Below are 18,687 nucleotides of genomic sequence, written 5' to 3'. Positions count from 1 at the left end.
TCCGAAGACCATCCTGTGACATAGTCCAATCTTCCTAGCCAGCCAGCTTTAGGAAGGCAGATGGTAGGGCCAGCCTGTCCTGGATCTGGAATCAGAAGTTCTGACTGTCAGGCCTTGTCACTTGGAAGCTGGTTCCCGTGTGTTAGGCACTATGCTAGGGGTGTGTGCATCTCCACGGGATCTTCCTAACAACCCCCAAAGGCAGGCATTCTTGTCCCTGTTTTACAGATGGGAACTGGGGCTCAGAGAAGGTAAGTGAATTGACCAGTCTATGGCAGAGCTGAGAAAAGAACACAGTCCGTCCTACCCTAAAGCTACCCTCTCTAATTCTCTGGTTTTTAAATCTGAAAATTAAGGATAACCAAAGGTCTCACTCTTCTTGGTACATTTAAAGAAAACTTAGGAAGAGATGCCAGAAGGTGGATGGGTCTGGCTGTAGCTACAGGAGCTGAAGGGAATGAGAGCAGGAGAGCAAGTTGGTTCCGGAGGTGAGAAGGCTCTGAGCAGTGAGAGGGTGGCGAGACTTCCCAGGCCAGGAGTGAGCAAACCCTAGGGACATGGAGGAGGAACTGGCCCTGAAGCAGATGGACAGAAGAGTGAGCCCAGAAACCAACAGGGCCCCTGGGAGCCTGGCATGTGTCTTCCATTAACAGGGGGCATTTCACAGCTGGGGAAAGAAGATTCTTCCAGCTGTGGCATTGGAAAGACAGGCTAGCTCGGAAGAATGACACAGAACTAGCAGCCCAGACTGAGGGTTTACTATGTCCCAGTCACTGTTCTTTGCTTTACAGTCTTATTGACTTCTTACTGCACAATTATGAAATACATTCCATGGTTATTCCCATTTCACAGAGGAGGAATCGAGGACACAGAGAATATTAGCCACTCGCCTAATGTCACGCAGTTTGTATTCACACCCGGTTGTCTTTGGATTCCCAAGACCACTGTTAGGAAATATGGCCAGAGCCCTGTCTGCCTTCCAACATCAGATCAGAGTAAATTCCCAAAGGAAATAATATTTTAATATAAGGAATAAAACCATGGAAGTTTCAGAGAAAACATGGCTGAATATTTTTATAACCTTCAAGAGGGAGAGGCCTTTCCAGCGTCACAGGAAAGCTAGAAACCATAAAGGAAAAGATTGATAAATTTGGCTACAAAAAATTTTAAAACTTCTCTGTTAACATTAGAACATCATAAACAAAGGCAAGACATGTAACCACAACCTGAGAAAACATACTTACATTATATATTACAAAATCCTAATATCCTAAATAAGTGAAAAGTTTCTACAAATCAATGAGAAAATAATGAACAAGCCAAGAGTGAAAAGGACATAAACAGGCATTTTGTAGAACAGGAGACACAATATGAGAATTAAGAAATTCAAACTAAGGCCAGGTGTGGTGGCTCACGCCTGTAACCCCAACACTTTGGGAGGCCAAGGCAAGCGGATCACCTGAGGTTGAGAGTTCGAGACCAGCCTGACCAACTTGGAGAAACCTCGTCTCCACTAAAAATACAAAATTAGCTGGATGTAGTGGAGGGCGCCTGTAATTCCAGCTACTCGGGAGGCTGAGGCAGGAGAATCACTTGAACCCAGGAGGTGGAGGTTGTGGTGAGCCGAGATTGTGCCATTGCACTCCAGCCTGGGCAACAAGAGTGAAACGTGAAACTCTGTCTCAAAAAAACAAACAAACAAACAAACAAAAATTCAAACTTAAATAAGGACATCAGTTTCATCTATAAGAATTACAGGCTGGGCGCAGTGGCTCACGCCTGTAATCCCAGCACTTTGGGAGGCCGAGGCGGGCGGATCACAAGGTCAGGAGATCAAGACCATCCTGGCTAACATGGTGAAACCCCGTCTCCACTAAAAAATACAAAAAAATTAGCCAGGCATGGTGGTGGGTGCCTGTAGTCCCAGCTACTCGGGAGACTGAGGCAGGAGAATGACGTGAACCCAGGAGGCAGAGCTTGCAGTGAGCCGAGATCACGCCACTGCACTCCAGCCTGGGTGACAGAGCAAGACTCCATCTCAAAAAAAAAAAAAAAAAAATTACAAAGATGTTTTTCAATGACTGATACCTGATGTCAATGAGGGTGTGGGCATCATGTCTGCCCATGTAAAACTAACACACAACTTAGCACTATCCTGAAATATGCCTATCCTTCCATGTGGGAGTCCCACTTCTGGGAATGTATACTGCAAAATTCTCAGACGAGTTCATTAAGATATATGTGCAAGGATTTTTTTCTACTCAACTTGTTTATAAAAGGGAAAACCCAGAAATAATAAAAAGTCAATCAACAAGTTATACACCCAAAAAACAGAATGATGAGTAATTTGTGAACTGACATTGAGAATGGACAAGAGGTATTGTTAAGTTAAAAAGGAAGCAAATTGCAGAAGAGTATGTCCAGTGAGCACCCAAATTTGTTGGTCATACTAAATTAATAACATTTTTGGCTCACGCCTGTAATCCCAGCACTTTGGGAGGCTGAGGCGGGTGGATCATGAGGTCAGGAGATCCAGACCATCCTGGCTAACAAGGTGAAACCCCGTCTCTACTAAAAATACAAAAAATTAGCCGGGCGCGGTGGCGGGCGCCTGTAGTCCCAGCTACTCGGGAGGCTGAGGCAGGAGAATGGCGTGAACCCGGGAAGCGGAGCTTGCAGTGAGCCGAGATTGCGCCACTGCAGTCCGCAGTCCGGCCTGGGCGACAGAGCGAGACTCCGTCTCAAAAAAAAAAAAAAAAAAAAATTAATAACATTTTAAGATAATATATACATAGGAAGTAATCAAAGCAACCATTTCTGGTGATTAGGTTGGGGTATTTGAGGGACTTTCACGTTCTTTGTTTATTTGTTTGTTTGTTGGTTTGAGATGGAGTTTTGCTCTTGTTGCTCAGGCTGGAGTGCAATGGCTTGATCTCAGCTCACTGCAACCTCTGCCTCCCGGGTTCAAGCGATTCTCCTGCCTCAACCTCCCGAGTAGCTGGGATTACAGGCGCCTGCCACCATGCCCAGCTAATTTTTGTATTTTTAATAGAGACGGGGTTTCACCATGTTGGCCAGGCTGGTTTCGAACTCCTGACCTCAGGTGATCCACCCACCTCAGCCTCCCAAAGTGCTGGAATTACAGATGTGAGCCATCGCGCCCGGTCTGGGATTTTCACATTCTATGTAATTCAACTCTGCATGTTCAAAATATTTTGAACCCGGAATTACAGTTGTAATCATAAATAATAATAAATATATAAATGACCATGGGTTATTAACATCCCACTGGTGCCTCTGCACAACCCTTGGGAGACAAGCCATTGCCTCTTAAGTGGGACAAAATCTTTTGATAATAATATTTCAGTTCAAAATAGTAAGTAATTAAGACATTTTAAAAAATCTAAAATACTGCCATTAATCAAATAATTCATTTTACAACAATGAAACTACATTTTTGAAACAGTGAGATTGTTTTTCTTTGCTGAATTATTTGGAACTCAACAAACGAATGTTCTCTAAGCAGGGTGTTTAACAGCACATAGTCAAGCTTTTCTTTCCCCCCAGCAAGTTCTGTCTTCCAAACTGCAGTCATTCAGCTGGTTTGCAAAGAGAAGAAGATCAACTTGAGGTTCAAGCCAGGACTTGGAGGCGGTAACGACTGTGAGGTGCGGGCCCTAAAACCACCCCATACCTGAATAAGACACACTAATTATGATATTCCAATGTGGTGGTTGTGGGGGGGCAGTCTGAGAGGCAACTATGCAAATAAGATACCCAAATATTGGTTTCATAACCCTTAAACTCCTCATCAGAATCAGGAGTGAAAAGGCTGATGGCAAGGACAGGTAGGGCTTTTGAAAAGGACTTTCAGCAGCGCTCTCTGTGTGCTGAGTCCCTCCCACTGGGTGCTTGGAAGCCTACTCTGCGTCTCAAGGCTTTGGAAGAGGGGCTTTAATGGGAGGGCTCAGAGTCTCCCTCTGTCTCCGCTGCCACCCACCGCAGTAGCAAAGCAGAAGAAAGCTCTGTGACCCTGGGTTGGATCAAAGGAACAGCAGAAATGAAGAACAGCTGCCAGATGCAGAGAGGAGAACAAAACTTGGCAAAGAAACTAATTTAGAGAAGAGTTGATACTAAAAAACCTCCAGGAATTCAGATAAATCTTGCCACAGCTCTGTACTTCTACAACCAATGGGAAAATGTTTGAATCAATCTTATCTAACTCTGAAAAGGTCCTGAGACCCTGGTTGATATCTAGGTTATACCGTATTAGTTAAAAACACCACATCTTTGCAATGAGGAGCTGCCTGGCATAGCTCTCCGTGAGGCACCGAGATGATGCCACTTTCTCATAAACACACAGGTGTCAGACCCTCTCCCACTGGCTGCTGGGGGAGATGGGGCAGATGGAAACTTGGCTGAGACTGTAAGGAACCCGTGGAGTCAGGGTTGTTAGAGAAACCTTCACAACTCCTCTTTTGGAGGCCACCAAAATCCACAGAGGTCCAAGAACCAAAGATTAAGCTCTTTAGTTGCAGAAAGTCTAAACCAGTCATGAAAACTAGGCCCCAACCCAGATATCTGAAGGCAAAATATGGAATCAGGGGTCTTTAAGCCTCCTGGGAACACTGTGGAACAGCCACTTGTGTGTGCACCCAGTGATGAAGGACTGGTCTTGTACAGTCAAGCAATGATGAATGAATTATCTATTCAAGCCAAGAAACTAAGTCATAATCATTAATACTGTAAGACTAACTCCTGGCTCATCCACATGGGCCATTAGCAGTCCCAAGTACATACAGTGAGAAACACCATCCTTCTAGATAAAGACTAGGGAAGGAGATAACTCAGCAGTTTTCTGCCATAATGGGGATCTGAATAATACAAATATTTGACATTTGTAGATGGTGTGCAATGATCTCAATCCTCTTATCTAAGCCTTGCTGGAGACAGCACTTGTAACATCTACATGATTTTTCATCTTCTCTCCCTTCCTCTACTTTGGTGAATATGTTCACCAATAGAACTGTCTGAGAAAAGGGGATGAAAGGAGGGCAGAAAAATAGCCATCCATAAACAGGATGACCAGTTTCCATGTTACCAAAAGCCATCCATCCTGTGTAGTGTCAAGATCCTTGTAAGCCACTGCTATGTTTTAAGCAGGCAATGTTGATATCAGACCCAGCAGTGATGAAGCTCTTGTTCTTAAATTCCACATGCAAAAGAGGCACACAATTCTTTTGTATTTATATTTATATATGTTACATTTATTTAATGTTTCCATTATCAGACTCTTAAAAGTAATGAAAAACTATTAAATCTATTAAATATCAATTTACCAGCTGTAGCGAGGAATAGCCACCACTGACATGGCCTAGACAGTGTGTGACCTTTTGGAACACTCAGATTGCTTTCCCAAGTGCCCGCAAGTGGGAGGAGAAAGGAAACGTGCTATACAGATGCTGCTTCCTCCCTGGTCTACCTCCTCACTCTATGGTTTGAAATCAAATGTTCTGTGTCTTGAGATGAAATTCAATGGGTAGGTCAGAGCTGGCTGGTTCATAGCAGCAGCTTGACTTGGCAGCAAATTGAACCTGTTTGGAATGTGGAGAGGTAAAGTTTACAAAATGGGTATACTCAGAGTGTATTACTTATTTGATTTCACTGTCTGGTTTGATTCCTTACATCCTCCCTATGATAGGCAGAAAGTGGTACTATTATCCCAATTGTACAGAAAGTGTTACTGAAGCTTATGAAGGTTACAGAATAGTTCAAATTCAGAACCATGCTTTAAACCCAAGTAACTGCAAGGCCAGTGCTCTTTCTATGCCCTCTCTTCCTCATTTCCTCTTGTCCCAAAAGGGGGCTAAATGTGGCCCCTGTCAGATACTGTACCTCTTTTCTTTCCTGCTACCCTGATCTCTTATTTACTGATGAATTATTTATTCTCTGAGCATTTTCTCCCCAATATATTTAAAAACAAAATTTTTAATTGTGGTAAAATATACATAACATAAAATTTACCGTCTTTTTTTTTTTTTTTTTTTTTTTTGAGATGAAGTCTTACTCTGTTGCCCGGACTGAAGTGCAATGGTGTGAGCTCAGCTCACTACAACCTCCACCTCCCAGGTTCAAGCAATTCTCATGCCTCAGCCTTTCGAGTAGCTGAGATTACAGGCATGTGTCCCCATGCCTGGCTAATTTTTGTATTTTTAGTAGAGATGGGGGTTTCACTATGTTGGCCAGGCTAGTCTTGAACTCCTAGCCTCAAGTGATCCTCCCGCCTCAGCCTTCCAAAGTGTGGGATTACGGGCATGAGCCACCGTGCCTGGCCAAAATTTACCATCTTAACCACTTTTAAGTATACAGCCTAGTGATATTAGGTGCATTTACATTGTTGTGCAGCAGTATACACTATTTGTCTTAGTCCATTTTGCATTGTTGTAAAGGAATACCTGAGGCTGGGCAATATGGTTCTGCCAGGCTTTACAGGAAGCATAGCAGCAGCATCTGCTTCTGGTGAGGGCCTCCGGAAGCTTCCACTCATGGCAGAAAGGGAATAAGAGATGGCATCATGTGACAAGAGAGGAGGAAAGACAGGGAGGAGGGAGGTGCCAGACTCTTTAACAACCAGATCTTGAGGGAACTGAGAGTGAGAGTTCACTCAATCCCTCAAGAATGGCACCACTTTGGGAGGCCAAGATGGGCGGATGATGGCCCCCATGACCCAAACACCTCGCTTTAATCCCCACTTCTAAGGGATCAAATTTCAACATGAGATTTGCAGGGGAATAATATCCAAACTATATTGCTATTCTTAATTCCTTAATAGATTTTAAATAAAACAAGAAAGAAATTCTGGGCTTTAGAGCTTGTCATCTCTCCTGTTTACAAAACAAATGGAAATAATAATTTTTAATAGTCACAAGGCACAAATTCCTTGTGTAAATTGCCCTGGTGGACAGCTCCAGTCACCTCTTGACTGAGCCCTTTCCTTGAGGCCCCACTGCCACAGTCCACCTGGCTGAACTCAGCCCTGCTGGGTTCAGTCTCTACAACCTCGTGTTGGATATGTTGGTCCCTGGACCAAAATCTTTAATGGTTCTTCATATTCTGCAGAAGAAAGTCTGTACTCCTGAGGTTAGTTCTCGTGAATCTTCCTACAGTGACTCCAGTGTTGTGACATTGTTTCACTCGCTCCCATCCATTCCCAAGCCCCTTCACATTTGTTACTTTCCTTTATAAAGACAAATCTAAGAACTCACTTTCACAGTCTCTTGCAGCTATGAATAACTTCAAGAAAAACTTTTATGTTCCTAATAACAAGAATGAAAGCAACCCAGGCCACCTCTACATCTTTCTTCTTGTCTTGAGTGAGTATGTGATGCCGGGAACTATGCAGCCATTTTGTGACTGTGAAGCAGAAAGCATGAAGGATACACAGGGTTTTGATGACATTGTAGGAGAGCTAGAGAGCACCTCCAATCCTCCTTTTAGCTATTAATGAGTTCTTTACCTGGATCTAGAAACCATATTGACATCAGGCATATTAACAAGAGAAAAGTATACAAAGTTTATTAGTTTTACTACATGTCTATGGGGACTTCACAAGAGAGTGAAGCCTGAAGAACTGGCCAAAGCCAGATGCTTTTATACTTTTTAGAAAAAGAGCAATAAATTTTAGAAGAAATGACAGAACAAAGAAAATGTGGCCAGGGCAGCAAAATTGTCTAGGGAAGTCACTAGTAGATATATGTGAGGGAGTATACAATAGGTGGAAGATAAAGGTTGCTTTGTTAGGTATGTTTATTCAGGTTCATCGTAGCATTCAATTCCAAGTCTCTGGTGATAAGGGCTATTTCCTCTCCCTGGTATGGAGAGGGTACTCCTCCCAGAGGAATCTTTATAGCTTGCTACATGCAGGAAGAGATAGGTCAGCTTGTCCTTTCTGAAACTACAATTTCTCAATGTTTTCAACTCAAAATAATCAATATGCCAATTGAGCGTATTTGGGGATGGCATGTCCTTCACTCCTTTCACATCAAATCCCTGCCCCCACCCTGCACTGCCTACCTCCAACCTTCTTAAGTGAGAAAAATCATCCTTTATTTGCGTAAGCCTTTATTAGTTTTCTGACTGATTTCACTAACCAATACATATATTCTTTCTCTAAAAATACAAATAAAGAAACAAACAGAATTACTATTTTGGAAAATGATTGAGTCAAGGAGTATCACTGGCTCCTGAAACCATTTGGCAAAAGTTGATGGCAGAATTTTATAATAGAGGATCAGGCTGGCAACACCTGAACCCCCAGTCAAACTGCATATCACAAAAGAGCAACAATTAGACAATTATACGCACCTGGCATGTACAATTGTGAGTATACAATACTAATTACATAGAGTTTTTGCCAAAAAATTGAACTGGAATCTGATCAAGATCCTAAACTGAATTACCAAATTACAGAAAATACGAGGGAACCAGGAACAAGTTACAGGATACCATCAGAAAAATCCAGAATGTGAGAAGTTCTCTAGAGCATATCATGATTCTTCAATAGATAATGTTGACAAGGGAAATAAAAAGAGGGAACCTTTTGATTGGAAGAATTAGGAGACATATCAATCAAATGCAGTGTGCCAACCCTGTCTGTGTAGTACCTGTTTAAGACAAATCTACAATTAAAAAATCTTATCAGAACAATCTGGGGGAATTTGAACACCAACTGGATATTTGAGGTTATTGAGGAGTTACTGTTAATTTTTAGCTATAACAAGAGTATTGTGTTTTTTTTTTTAAAAAAAGAACTGAGTCCTTGAGATACTGCAGTAGAATCCCAATTAATAAAGACAGAAGGATTGACAGAAATAGAAAATTACCATGTGGCAAACACCATAATAATAGTTGCTGCAGGCAACAATCATTAGTAGATTCTAAATTCTAAATTCAGTGAATAAAAATAAAAAGAAATGGGATATGTACATGGTCTCATAATATCTTCCCACAATTGCAAAGAAAAATAATTTTACAGAGAAATCTACAGTCACTACTTGTATTAGCATCCTATTGCTGTGGTATCAAATTACCAGAAGAATCTTAGTGGCTTAAAACAACACAAATGTAGTGTCTTGCAGTTCTGGAGGTCAAAAGCCAAAAATGAGTCTCTCTGGACTAAAAGCAAGGTGTCAGCCAGGCTGCATTCCTTGTGGAATACCCAGGGAGAATCTGGTTCCTACCTTTTGCGGCTTTTAGAGGCTGACCGCATTCCTTGGCTTATGGCCCCGCATCACTTTGACCTCTGCTTCCATCATCACACCTCCTTCTCTGACTCAGACTCACCTGCCTCCCTTTTCTCTTATAAGAACTCTCCTGAATATGTTGGGGCTGCCTGGATAATCCAGGATAATCTCCCAATTTTAGTCTGTTTGGGCTACTATAGCAAAGTCCTACAGGCTGGGTGGCTTATCAACCACAGAAATTTCTTTCTCACACTTCTGGAGGCTGGAAGTCCAAGATCCAGGTGCTGGCAGACTCAGTGTCTGGTGAGGGCCTGCTTCTTGGTTCACAGGCAGCTCTCCTCTGGCTGTGTTCTTACATGGTGGAGTGGCAAGAGAGCTCTCTGGGGTCTCTTTTATAAGAGCACCAATCCCATTTACAAGAGTTCTGTCCTCATGACCTAATAACATTCCAAAGCCTCCACCTCCTAATACCATCACACTGAGGGTTAAGATTTCAACAGATGAATTTGCCAGGGGGAGGAGGGGGGAGGGACACGAACATTGCCTATATCACTCCCCATTTCAAGATCTTTAACTTAATCACGTCTGCAGGATCCCTTTTGCCATGTAAAGTAGCATATTCACAGGTTCTGGGGATAAGGATATGGACATCTTTGGGGATATTATTCTGCCTACCATACCACTCTAACCAACTGATCAGCATTCACATTGGTAGTAATGAGACATAGTGATACCTTGTGCCTGCTGATATGCTGCCCTGAGAAGGGCACAACATTATTTCTGTAGTATTCTTGCCAAAAATGCATAACCTCAATCTAATAATGAGGGAACATCAGACAAATCCAGATTGAGGGAGATTCTACAAAATAACTGGCCATACTCTTCAAATGGGCCTAGTCATGGAAGACAAGAAAAGACTGAGGAACTGTACCAGCTTTCAGGAGACTAAAGACAAATGACAACTAAATGCAACTAAATGCAGAATCCTAAAATGGATCCCAGAATTGAAAAGAACATCCGTTGGACAGTTGGTGACATCTGAATAAGGTGTATAGAGTAGTTAATAGTATTATAAGAATGTTAATTTTCTGTTTTTCATTAATGTACTATGGTTACATAAGATGTTGACATCTTGGGTAGCTGGGTAAAAGTTACACAGAAAATTGTCACACTACTTTTGCAACTTTTTCAAAGGCTAAGTTTACTTCAAAATGAAAATTTAAATTTGTTAATTAAAAATGATAAACCTACCAAAATATTTTTTAAATGAAATGATACACTAACTTAGATTTGCTTTAAAATAATCCAGTAAAAAGAGGAGGAAGTATATGAGGTTAAAGACAAAATTTAATGGGCCATGTGTTGGTCATTGATGAACATGACTAATAAGCACATGGGTTCATTATATTATTCTCTCTATTTTGAACATGTTTGAGCTTTTCCCCTATAAAAATTAAATAAAAACAAGAAGTTATTATTATTGCATAAAATAAATAAATTGAATCACCAGCTTAAAATAGTTCCACAAACAATCTACCTGGTTTACTAGCCAGGTAAAGAAACATATAATCTTACAGAAATGATTTAAGAGTACAAAAGATAGTACACACTCTATTCATTTTTATGAAATCAATATAAATCAGACACCAAAACCTGAAAAATAACGAGAAAGTAAATTACGGCCAATCCCACTATGAAATTATCAGTAGATGCAAAAATTCTGAACCAAGTTTAGAAAGGTAAGTCCAGTAATATTTTAAAACATTAATACATAATGATTAAGTTGGGATCAATCCAAGAAATGCAAAGTTCATTTAACTTTAGAAAAATCAATTAAGGTAATTCACATTAACAAATTAGAGGAAAAAACTATGTTATCGTTTTAATAGATGCAGAAAAACACATTTATTAAGTTTCAACATTTACTCATGATTAAAACTCATAGTATTCCAGACTGAAGAAAACTAGTGATATGACAACCAAATGCAATAGATGATGTTAGATTGGATCTTAGGATCAGGAGAAAATTACTATCAAGGACATTATTGGGGAAATTGACAAAAGTGGAAAATGGACTATAGATAACAGTATTATATCAGTGTTAAGTTTCTTGATTTTGTTGACTACATTGTGGTTAGTAAAGAGAATATCCTTGCTCTTGGGAAATACAGACTGAAGTATTTAGGGGCAAAGGAGCATAATGTCTACAATTTACTGTCAAATTATTTTAGAACAATAATGATGTCTGTGTAGATATCTAGACAGAGAGATGCAAATGTAGTAAAATGTTACCAGTTGGTGAATCTCAGGGAAGGATATACCAAAGTTCTTTGTATTATTTATTCAATAATTCTCCTGTATATTTGAAATTGTTTAGGAATAAAAAATTTTAAAAGAGTCTGCATCTATGGTTGTATTAGTCCATTCTCACGCTGCTATGAAGAAATACCAAGACTGGGTAATTTATAAAGAAAAGAGGTTTAATTGACTCAAAATTCTGCATGGCTGGGGAGGCCTTAGGAAAGTTACTTTTTTTTTTTTTTTTTTTGAGATGGCAGTTTCGCTCTGTTGCCTAGGCTGGAGTGCAGTGGTGCAATTCGACTCACTGCAGCCTCCACCTCCTGGGTTCAAACGATTCTCCTGCCTCAGCCTCCTCAGTAGCTGGGACTGCAGGCATGTACTACCACACGTGGCTAATCTTTTTTTGTATTTTTAGTAGAGATGGAGTTTCACCATGCTGGCCAGGCTGGTCTCAAGCTCCTGACCTCAAGTTATCCGCCTGCCTCGGCCTCCCAAAGTGCTGGGATTACAGGCATGAGCCACTGGCCCAGCCAGGAAACTTACAATCATGGCGGAAGGCACCTCTTCAAAGGGTGGCAAGAGAGAGAATGAAAGACGAGCAAAGGGGGAAGCCCCTTTTAAAACCATCACATCTCGTGAGAACTCACTCACTATCACAAGAACAGCATGGGGGTAGCCGCCCCCATAATTCAGTTACCTCCCACTGGGTCCCTCCCAAAACATGTGGGAATTATGGGAACTACAAGATGAGATGTAGGTGGGGACACAGCCCAAACCACATCAGTGGTAGATGCCAAGGACACATGAATTAATTCTAAAATAGATCAAAAAACTTTTAGTAACTAGAATTAGAAGAAAACCTCTTCGACTTGATAAGGTGTCTGAAAAAACAAAAAAACTACAGCAAAGTACAGTAGGGACATCTGCCACTTATCTGACAGCCATATGCCCCCTATTTCATTTTCCAATCATTGTACCTTTCTTTCCCTCTTTGCCTCACTGCACTGGCTAGAACTTCCAGTTGCAATGTTGAATAGAAGTAGGGAATAGAAAGCACTCTTGTCTTCTTTCTGATATTAAAGGGAATTATTTTTATCATTTCATCATTATGTATAATTTTTGCTTAATTTTATATTTGCAGATATCCTTTATCAGGTAAAGAAGATTCCCTTTTATTCCTAGTTTACCTATTAAAAATACCCAAAGCACTATATTTATTAAAATGAACAAGAGTATTTAGCAAGGTCACTGTATGCAAAACAGGAAAAAAATGGTATTTCTACATACCTACAACAATTTTAAAAATGTAAATTTAAATATAGCATTTACAATAGCATCAAAATATGTAAATATCTAGCAATAAATATAATCAAAGATGTGCAAGATTTGTAGAGTGACAATTATAAACATTTGTTGAAACTACTGAAGATCTAAATAAGTTGAGGCACATGCCTTATGTATTAGAACAGTACATAACTTTTGGTCTCAGTATCCATTTATACTCTAATAAATCAGAAGACCCCAAATAAATTTTATTTACATGGGTTAAATCTATCTGTATTTACCATATTACAAATTAAAATTGAGAATTTAAAGAAATGCATTAATTCATTTATTATAAAAATAACAACGAACCTATTATATGCTAACATGAATAACATTACTATTAAAAGTAACTATTTTCAGCCTGGCACGGTGGCTCACGCCTGTGTTCCCAGTGCTTTGGGAGGCCAAGGTGGGCAGATCACCTGAGGTCAGGAGTTCGAGACCAGTCTGGCCAACATGGCAAAACCCTGTCTCTACTAAAAATAAAAAAAATTAGCCAGGCATAGTGGTACACACCTGTAATCCCAGCTACTTGGGAGGCTGAGGGAGGAGAATCACTTGAACTCGGGAGGCAGAGGTTGCAGTGAGCCAAGATCGCACCATTGCACTCCAGCCTGGGCAACAAGAGTGAAACTCCATCTCAGGAAAAAAAAAAAAACTATCTTCAAAAAAAAAAAGGTAAGAAACTGCACTGCATCTGGCAGAAAGCAGAAGGCCCCTGAGAAGGATTAGGCCCTCTCATCCCAACCTTGCCAACTAAGCCTCATCCTCACTTCTGGCTGGCCAAGTCAGCTTCCGACAGGATCAAGCTTACTTCCCGTGGGTTAGGCCCACTTCTGGCAGGTCAGGCCTCTTTCTGGAGAATCACCTCATTTCCGGAATACAGTATAGTGCTGGCTTCTGATGGATTAGGCTCACTTTTGGTAGATCAGGCCTCTTTCGGGAGAATCACCTCATTTCCGGAATACAGTATAGTGCTGGCTTCTGAGGGATTAGGCTCACTTTTGGCAGATCAGGCCCACTGCCGGCAGATCAGGACCGCTTCCTGGCTTCCCAAGGGTGAGGTAGGCCTCAGGCCGCCCAGGCTTGGGTCTCTGACACTTCCATGGCCAGTGGGGAGGGGTAAACTTGTGAGGTTTTTGATGTCTCCCACTGTGGCCAGCAGAAGAGGTGGGGGAGAGACGAAGGCTCGTATTCTTGTCCAGATTGCTGGGGTCGCGGGGAAGGGCCAGCCCAAAGCACACCGATATTGTCTCCATTTGGCTAGAGCCGTTAGAGGAGGCAGTGGTAAGGGTTGTGGCTGGGCTTTTCAGTTCTGGCTGGTACAGCTATTGCTGGCATGCTACTGTACTGTGATCGTGCAACTTCTGTGTCTACTAATGTGTACTCTCATGTAGGAACCCTATGTGCTGACCACCGTTGGATGAGATTTAGAATTCTCATTTAATCATCTCATCAACTTTAAGGGTTGCAGGTGTTGTTAAAACCATTCTACAGGTCAAGAAATTGAGATGTAGAAAAGTTGGTTACCTTACCCAAAACCTCATAACTGGTTACATGGCAGAGCTGTTCTCAGCTTTTCTTTAAGCCTCTGGGGTCACAACTTGCAGCTGCTGTCATAAAATGGAGCAGTCAATTTTTTTTGTTTTTTTCAGCTGCAGAACTCCTCTCTCTCAGGAGGGAAACCAATTCCAAACCCAGCCTCATCAGGAGAGAAAAATTTTTTTTTTTAAATATCTGAGAGCACATATAAATGGTAACGGTACTTAGGAACCTGTACTGATAATCAAAAAAATTGCATATTCTGTGGCCCAGCCATTGTACTAGGAATACATCCTGAGGAAGTCCTCAGAGACGTTGAGTACACATTTGTTCACACAGATGCACACTGGAGCATTACAATATAAATGAAAAAGTGAAAACCATCCTCAAGTCTAATAATAAAGGGCTGATTTAATTATACATGTGGTTTAAATATATATCCCTAGTATAATCATTGCTAAGATATACTGAGTGCTTACCATATGCCACTCATTGATTTAAGAGCTATACATATATTAACTCATTTAGCCTATGTGATCGATTAGAGTGCGATTGAATAGGAATATTTAAGGCTTGAGAAAATGTTTACGCTCTATCATAATGAAAAAAGTGTATTACAAAACTATTTTTTAAAACTGTGTAGATGCAAAAAGTCAGTAGTTAGAATTAAAATATGAAATTGCTGTTTTTATTTTCTTTTTTGCCATGTGGAGAATTTTCTGGATTTTCCACACTAATCATTTATTACTTAAAAAAAAAAAGATTTAAAGATAAAAGCATAGTCAGGGTATTAGGCCATGCCTGAGAGCCTGATGCCCAAGTGAGTCCAGCTAGTGCTATGGCCACAGGGAGCCACTGACCCCTGGGGCTAACCATGAGAGTCCTTGGCAAAGTGAGGAGACCCAACTGGGACCTCTCTCTACCGTGGGCCCTGCCCACTGCCTTATTTGCTCAGAAGCTCTGCTGCTGTGAAGACCTGGTTCCAGGGTCTGGGTCACCAGAGAGGGCTCCAGTCATTCTGGCCAGCACTAAAACCAGTCACAGAGGTTGACGCTTTCAGGACTAAGATCAAAGGTCTGAATCCAGCTTTCCGAGGCATTCACTGTCTGGCTCCTCCTGACTTCTTGGCCCCAGTTTTCCACTCTCCACAGCCCTTCACTTCAGAAAGGCCATTTCCTCCTAACTTTCCCCGTACCCATGATGCATCCTTCTCCGCATTTTCCAAACTTTCTCATCCTCTACTCCAAAAATATCTTTTTTGTTGTTCCAAGCATACGGATGAGGCTGACAAAACTGGTGATAGTATTGATGGAACTGCTATAAACGCCAGGGTAATAGCAATAACAATAACTACCATTTATTGAGCACTTACCTCATGCTGTTTAAATACATTGATCCCATTTAATCTATATAGCTCATCTGTGGGCAGATACTAGTGTCCATCTTTACAGATAAAAGATCTAAGGATCAAAGAGGTAAAGTAAAATTTCCAAGGTCCCCTCATCAATAAATGGTGGAAACAGCTGGGCACAGTGGCTCACGCCTGTAATCCCAGCACTTTGGGAGGCCAAAGCAGGTGGATCACCTGAGGTCAGGAGTTCGAGACCAGCCTGGCCAACATGGCGAAACCCTGTCTCTACTAAAAATACAAAAATTAGCCGGGCGTGGTGGCAGGCGCTTGTAATCCCAGCTACTCGGGAGGCTGAGGCAGGAGAATTGCTTCAACCTGGGAGGCAGAGGTTGCAGTGAGCCAAGATCGCGCCACTGCACTCCAGCCTGGGTGACAAGAGCAAAACTCTGTCTCAAAAAAAAAAAGATGGAAACAAACTTCAAACCCAAGTCTGCCTGTGCAGCTCACAAAGCACTTTCCTATTCATGACCTCCCCAGATCGGCGAGGATGGCTGCGCAGGTGTGATCAGCCCTCATTCTAGCTGAAGACCCTGAGTCTGGTTGCTGGTAAATGGTAGTGGGGGAGGGAGTCTATTATAAGAATCCAGGTCTCCGGAATTCTAAGATGCAGAAGACATTCATTATGCTCACAGACTTATCATGGCTGTCTTAATGTGAATTCAGGCCAATCCGGGATTCAGAATTTTATCTACTCCCTTAAGTGCAATTGTGAATTCATCAGTGCCCAGGAAAGGCACTGATGGAAAATGTCACACTGTGAATGGAATGTCAGATATGTGTATGTAAGTGTGTGATATATGCGAATATCTAAAACAGTCTCATGAAGAAGTATCTGCCAAGAAGCTGGGCATAAAGAAATTTAAGATTAAATTTAAGGAGGAATATACAGTTTTGCTTCTTTTTCTAAAAATACAAACAAGTAAAACCCACTCAGGTTCGATGAATGGGGAATAGAAGTCTCCCCATTGTAAAGGAGTGACCTTTGACCCCAATTGTAGGGAACTTAAACTACATCCCTGAGGAGTCCTGTGTTCTAGAGTGGATGTGATGATAAGCCAGTGAACAGTGATTATTCATAAGTCTGAATGGATTGTCTTCCCATGCTACAGTTCTGGACCATGGCTGATCTATTTCTTGCTTACAGAACACTCATGAGCCATGAATTCGTTGTGTTGGACTCCCAAGGCAGGCCCAGCCCTGCGGTTCACCTCTTCCCTACATGTCTGTACAAACATATTTGGTTCATTGTTTACTTAGACTTGGCAACTTCCTGTCAATGTCCCAGGAGAAGCATAAAGCAGACCAGAAGTGGAATGAGTTAGTTAGTTTGTTTGTTTGTTTGTTTGCTTTTGAGATGGAGTCTCACTCTGTTGCCCAGGCTAGAGTGCAGTGGTGCAATCTCGGCTCACTACAACCTCTGCCTTCTGGGTTCAAGCGATTCTCCTGCCTCAGGCTCCCAAGTAGCTGGGATTACAGGAGCATGCCACCATGCCCAGCTAATTTTTGTATTTTTAGTAGAGATGGGGTTTCATCATATTGACCAGGTTGGTCTTGAACTCCTGACCTCAAGTGATCCACCCACCTTGGCCTCCCAAAGTGGTAGGATTACAGGCGTGAGCCACCAATTGTAGTACAATTTGAAGTCAGGTAGTGTGATGCCTCCAGGTTTGTTCTTTCTGCTTAGTATTACTTTGGCTATGTGGGCTCTTTTTTGGTGCCATATGCATTTTAGGATTTTTTTTCTAGTTCTGTGAATAATGATGATGGTATTTTGATGGAATTGCATTTAATCTGTAGATTTCTTTGGGCAGTACGGTCATTTTCACAATGTTGATTCTTCCCATCATGAGCATGGAATGTGTTTACCTTTGTTTGTGTCATCTATGATTTCTTTCAGCAGTGTTTTTGTTTTCCTCATAGAGATCTTATATCTCCTTGGAATTGAACCATAGTTTTAAATGCACTTTTTAAGTTTGATAGTTAAGGAAATAGTGTTGTGAATTATTTTAAAGTAATGACTCTTCCAAACTAATTAGCACCTAAATATTTTTATAACAGTTTTATTGAGATATCACATGCTTTACAATTCAATTTTAAGTGTGCAATTCAATGGTTTTTAGTACATTTACAGAATTGTGTGACCGTCACCACAATCAATTTTAGTAAATTTTTATAATCCCCCAAAGAAACTTTGTATTCATTAGCTATCACTCCCCAATCTCCTCACGCCACCTCCCAGTCCTAGGCAACCACTAATCTTTCCATCTTCATAGATTTGTCTGTTCTGGACATTTCCTATATATGGAATCATAGAATATGTGGTCTTTTGTGACTGGCTTCTTTCATTTTGCAAAATGTTTTTCAGTTTCATCCATGTTGTGGCATGTATGAGTGCTTCATTCCTTTTTATGACAAATAAGATGCCATTGTATTGACATGTTACATTTTGTTTAGCCATCAGTTGATGGACACTAGGTTCTTTCCACCTTTACGCTATTATGAATAATGCAGATACAAACATTCACAGGCAAGTTTATGTGTAAACACATGCTTTCAGTTCTCTTGGGTATACACCTAGGAATGTGTTAAAATAGTTAATTGGGAGGCTATTAGGCTGAGACAGCTCCAGCACATTGGGTTCCTATGTAAGCAAACCAAAACCCAATTTGATGTAAACAGTAAATGAAACTAAAGCTTAACCAATCAGAAGCCACCAACTAACCTCTAACTAAGGACTTTCCACCTTAACCAATCAAGTATTTTCATTGTCTTGCTTCCACAAACACCTTATAAAAGTTTCTTCTTGCACGCCTTCACTGAACTGCTGTGGTCTGGTACTGATGAATTCATGAATCACTGAATGCT

General features: G+C 41.1%; 1 long non-coding RNA gene across 2 annotated transcripts in view, besides 1 other annotated feature; it reads right to left on the bottom strand.

Moving 5' to 3' along the window:
* LOC105375233 (uncharacterized) overlaps positions 1-9,590 on the bottom strand; it is a 34,903-nt gene extending 25,313 nt beyond the window's left edge. The window contains exon 1 of one of the 2 annotated variants that reach the window (NR_187893.1): positions 9,240-9,590. This is a non-coding gene — a long non-coding RNA (uncharacterized LOC105375233). The remainder of the gene's footprint in view (positions 1-9,239) is intronic. The other variant, NR_187894.1, reaches the window with a different exon arrangement.
* Positions 16,888-17,182: an enhancer, noted in NCBI's record as "tiled region #2903; HepG2 Activating DNase matched - State 7:EnhWF". NCBI's record gives its function as "activates a minimal TATA promoter and a strong SV40 promoter by Sharpr-MPRA in HepG2 cells {active_cell/tissue: HepG2}" and the evidence as "EXISTENCE:reporter gene assay evidence [ECO:0000049][PMID:27701403]".

The sequence above is a fragment of the Homo sapiens genome, chromosome 7 (assembly GCF_000001405.40).
Source record: "Homo sapiens chromosome 7, GRCh38.p14 Primary Assembly".
In the NCBI taxonomy this organism is placed as follows: Eukaryota; Metazoa; Chordata; class Mammalia; order Primates; family Hominidae; genus Homo; species Homo sapiens.
Note: the sequence above shows the minus strand (reverse complement) of the source record. Positions and strands in the feature narration are given on the sequence as shown.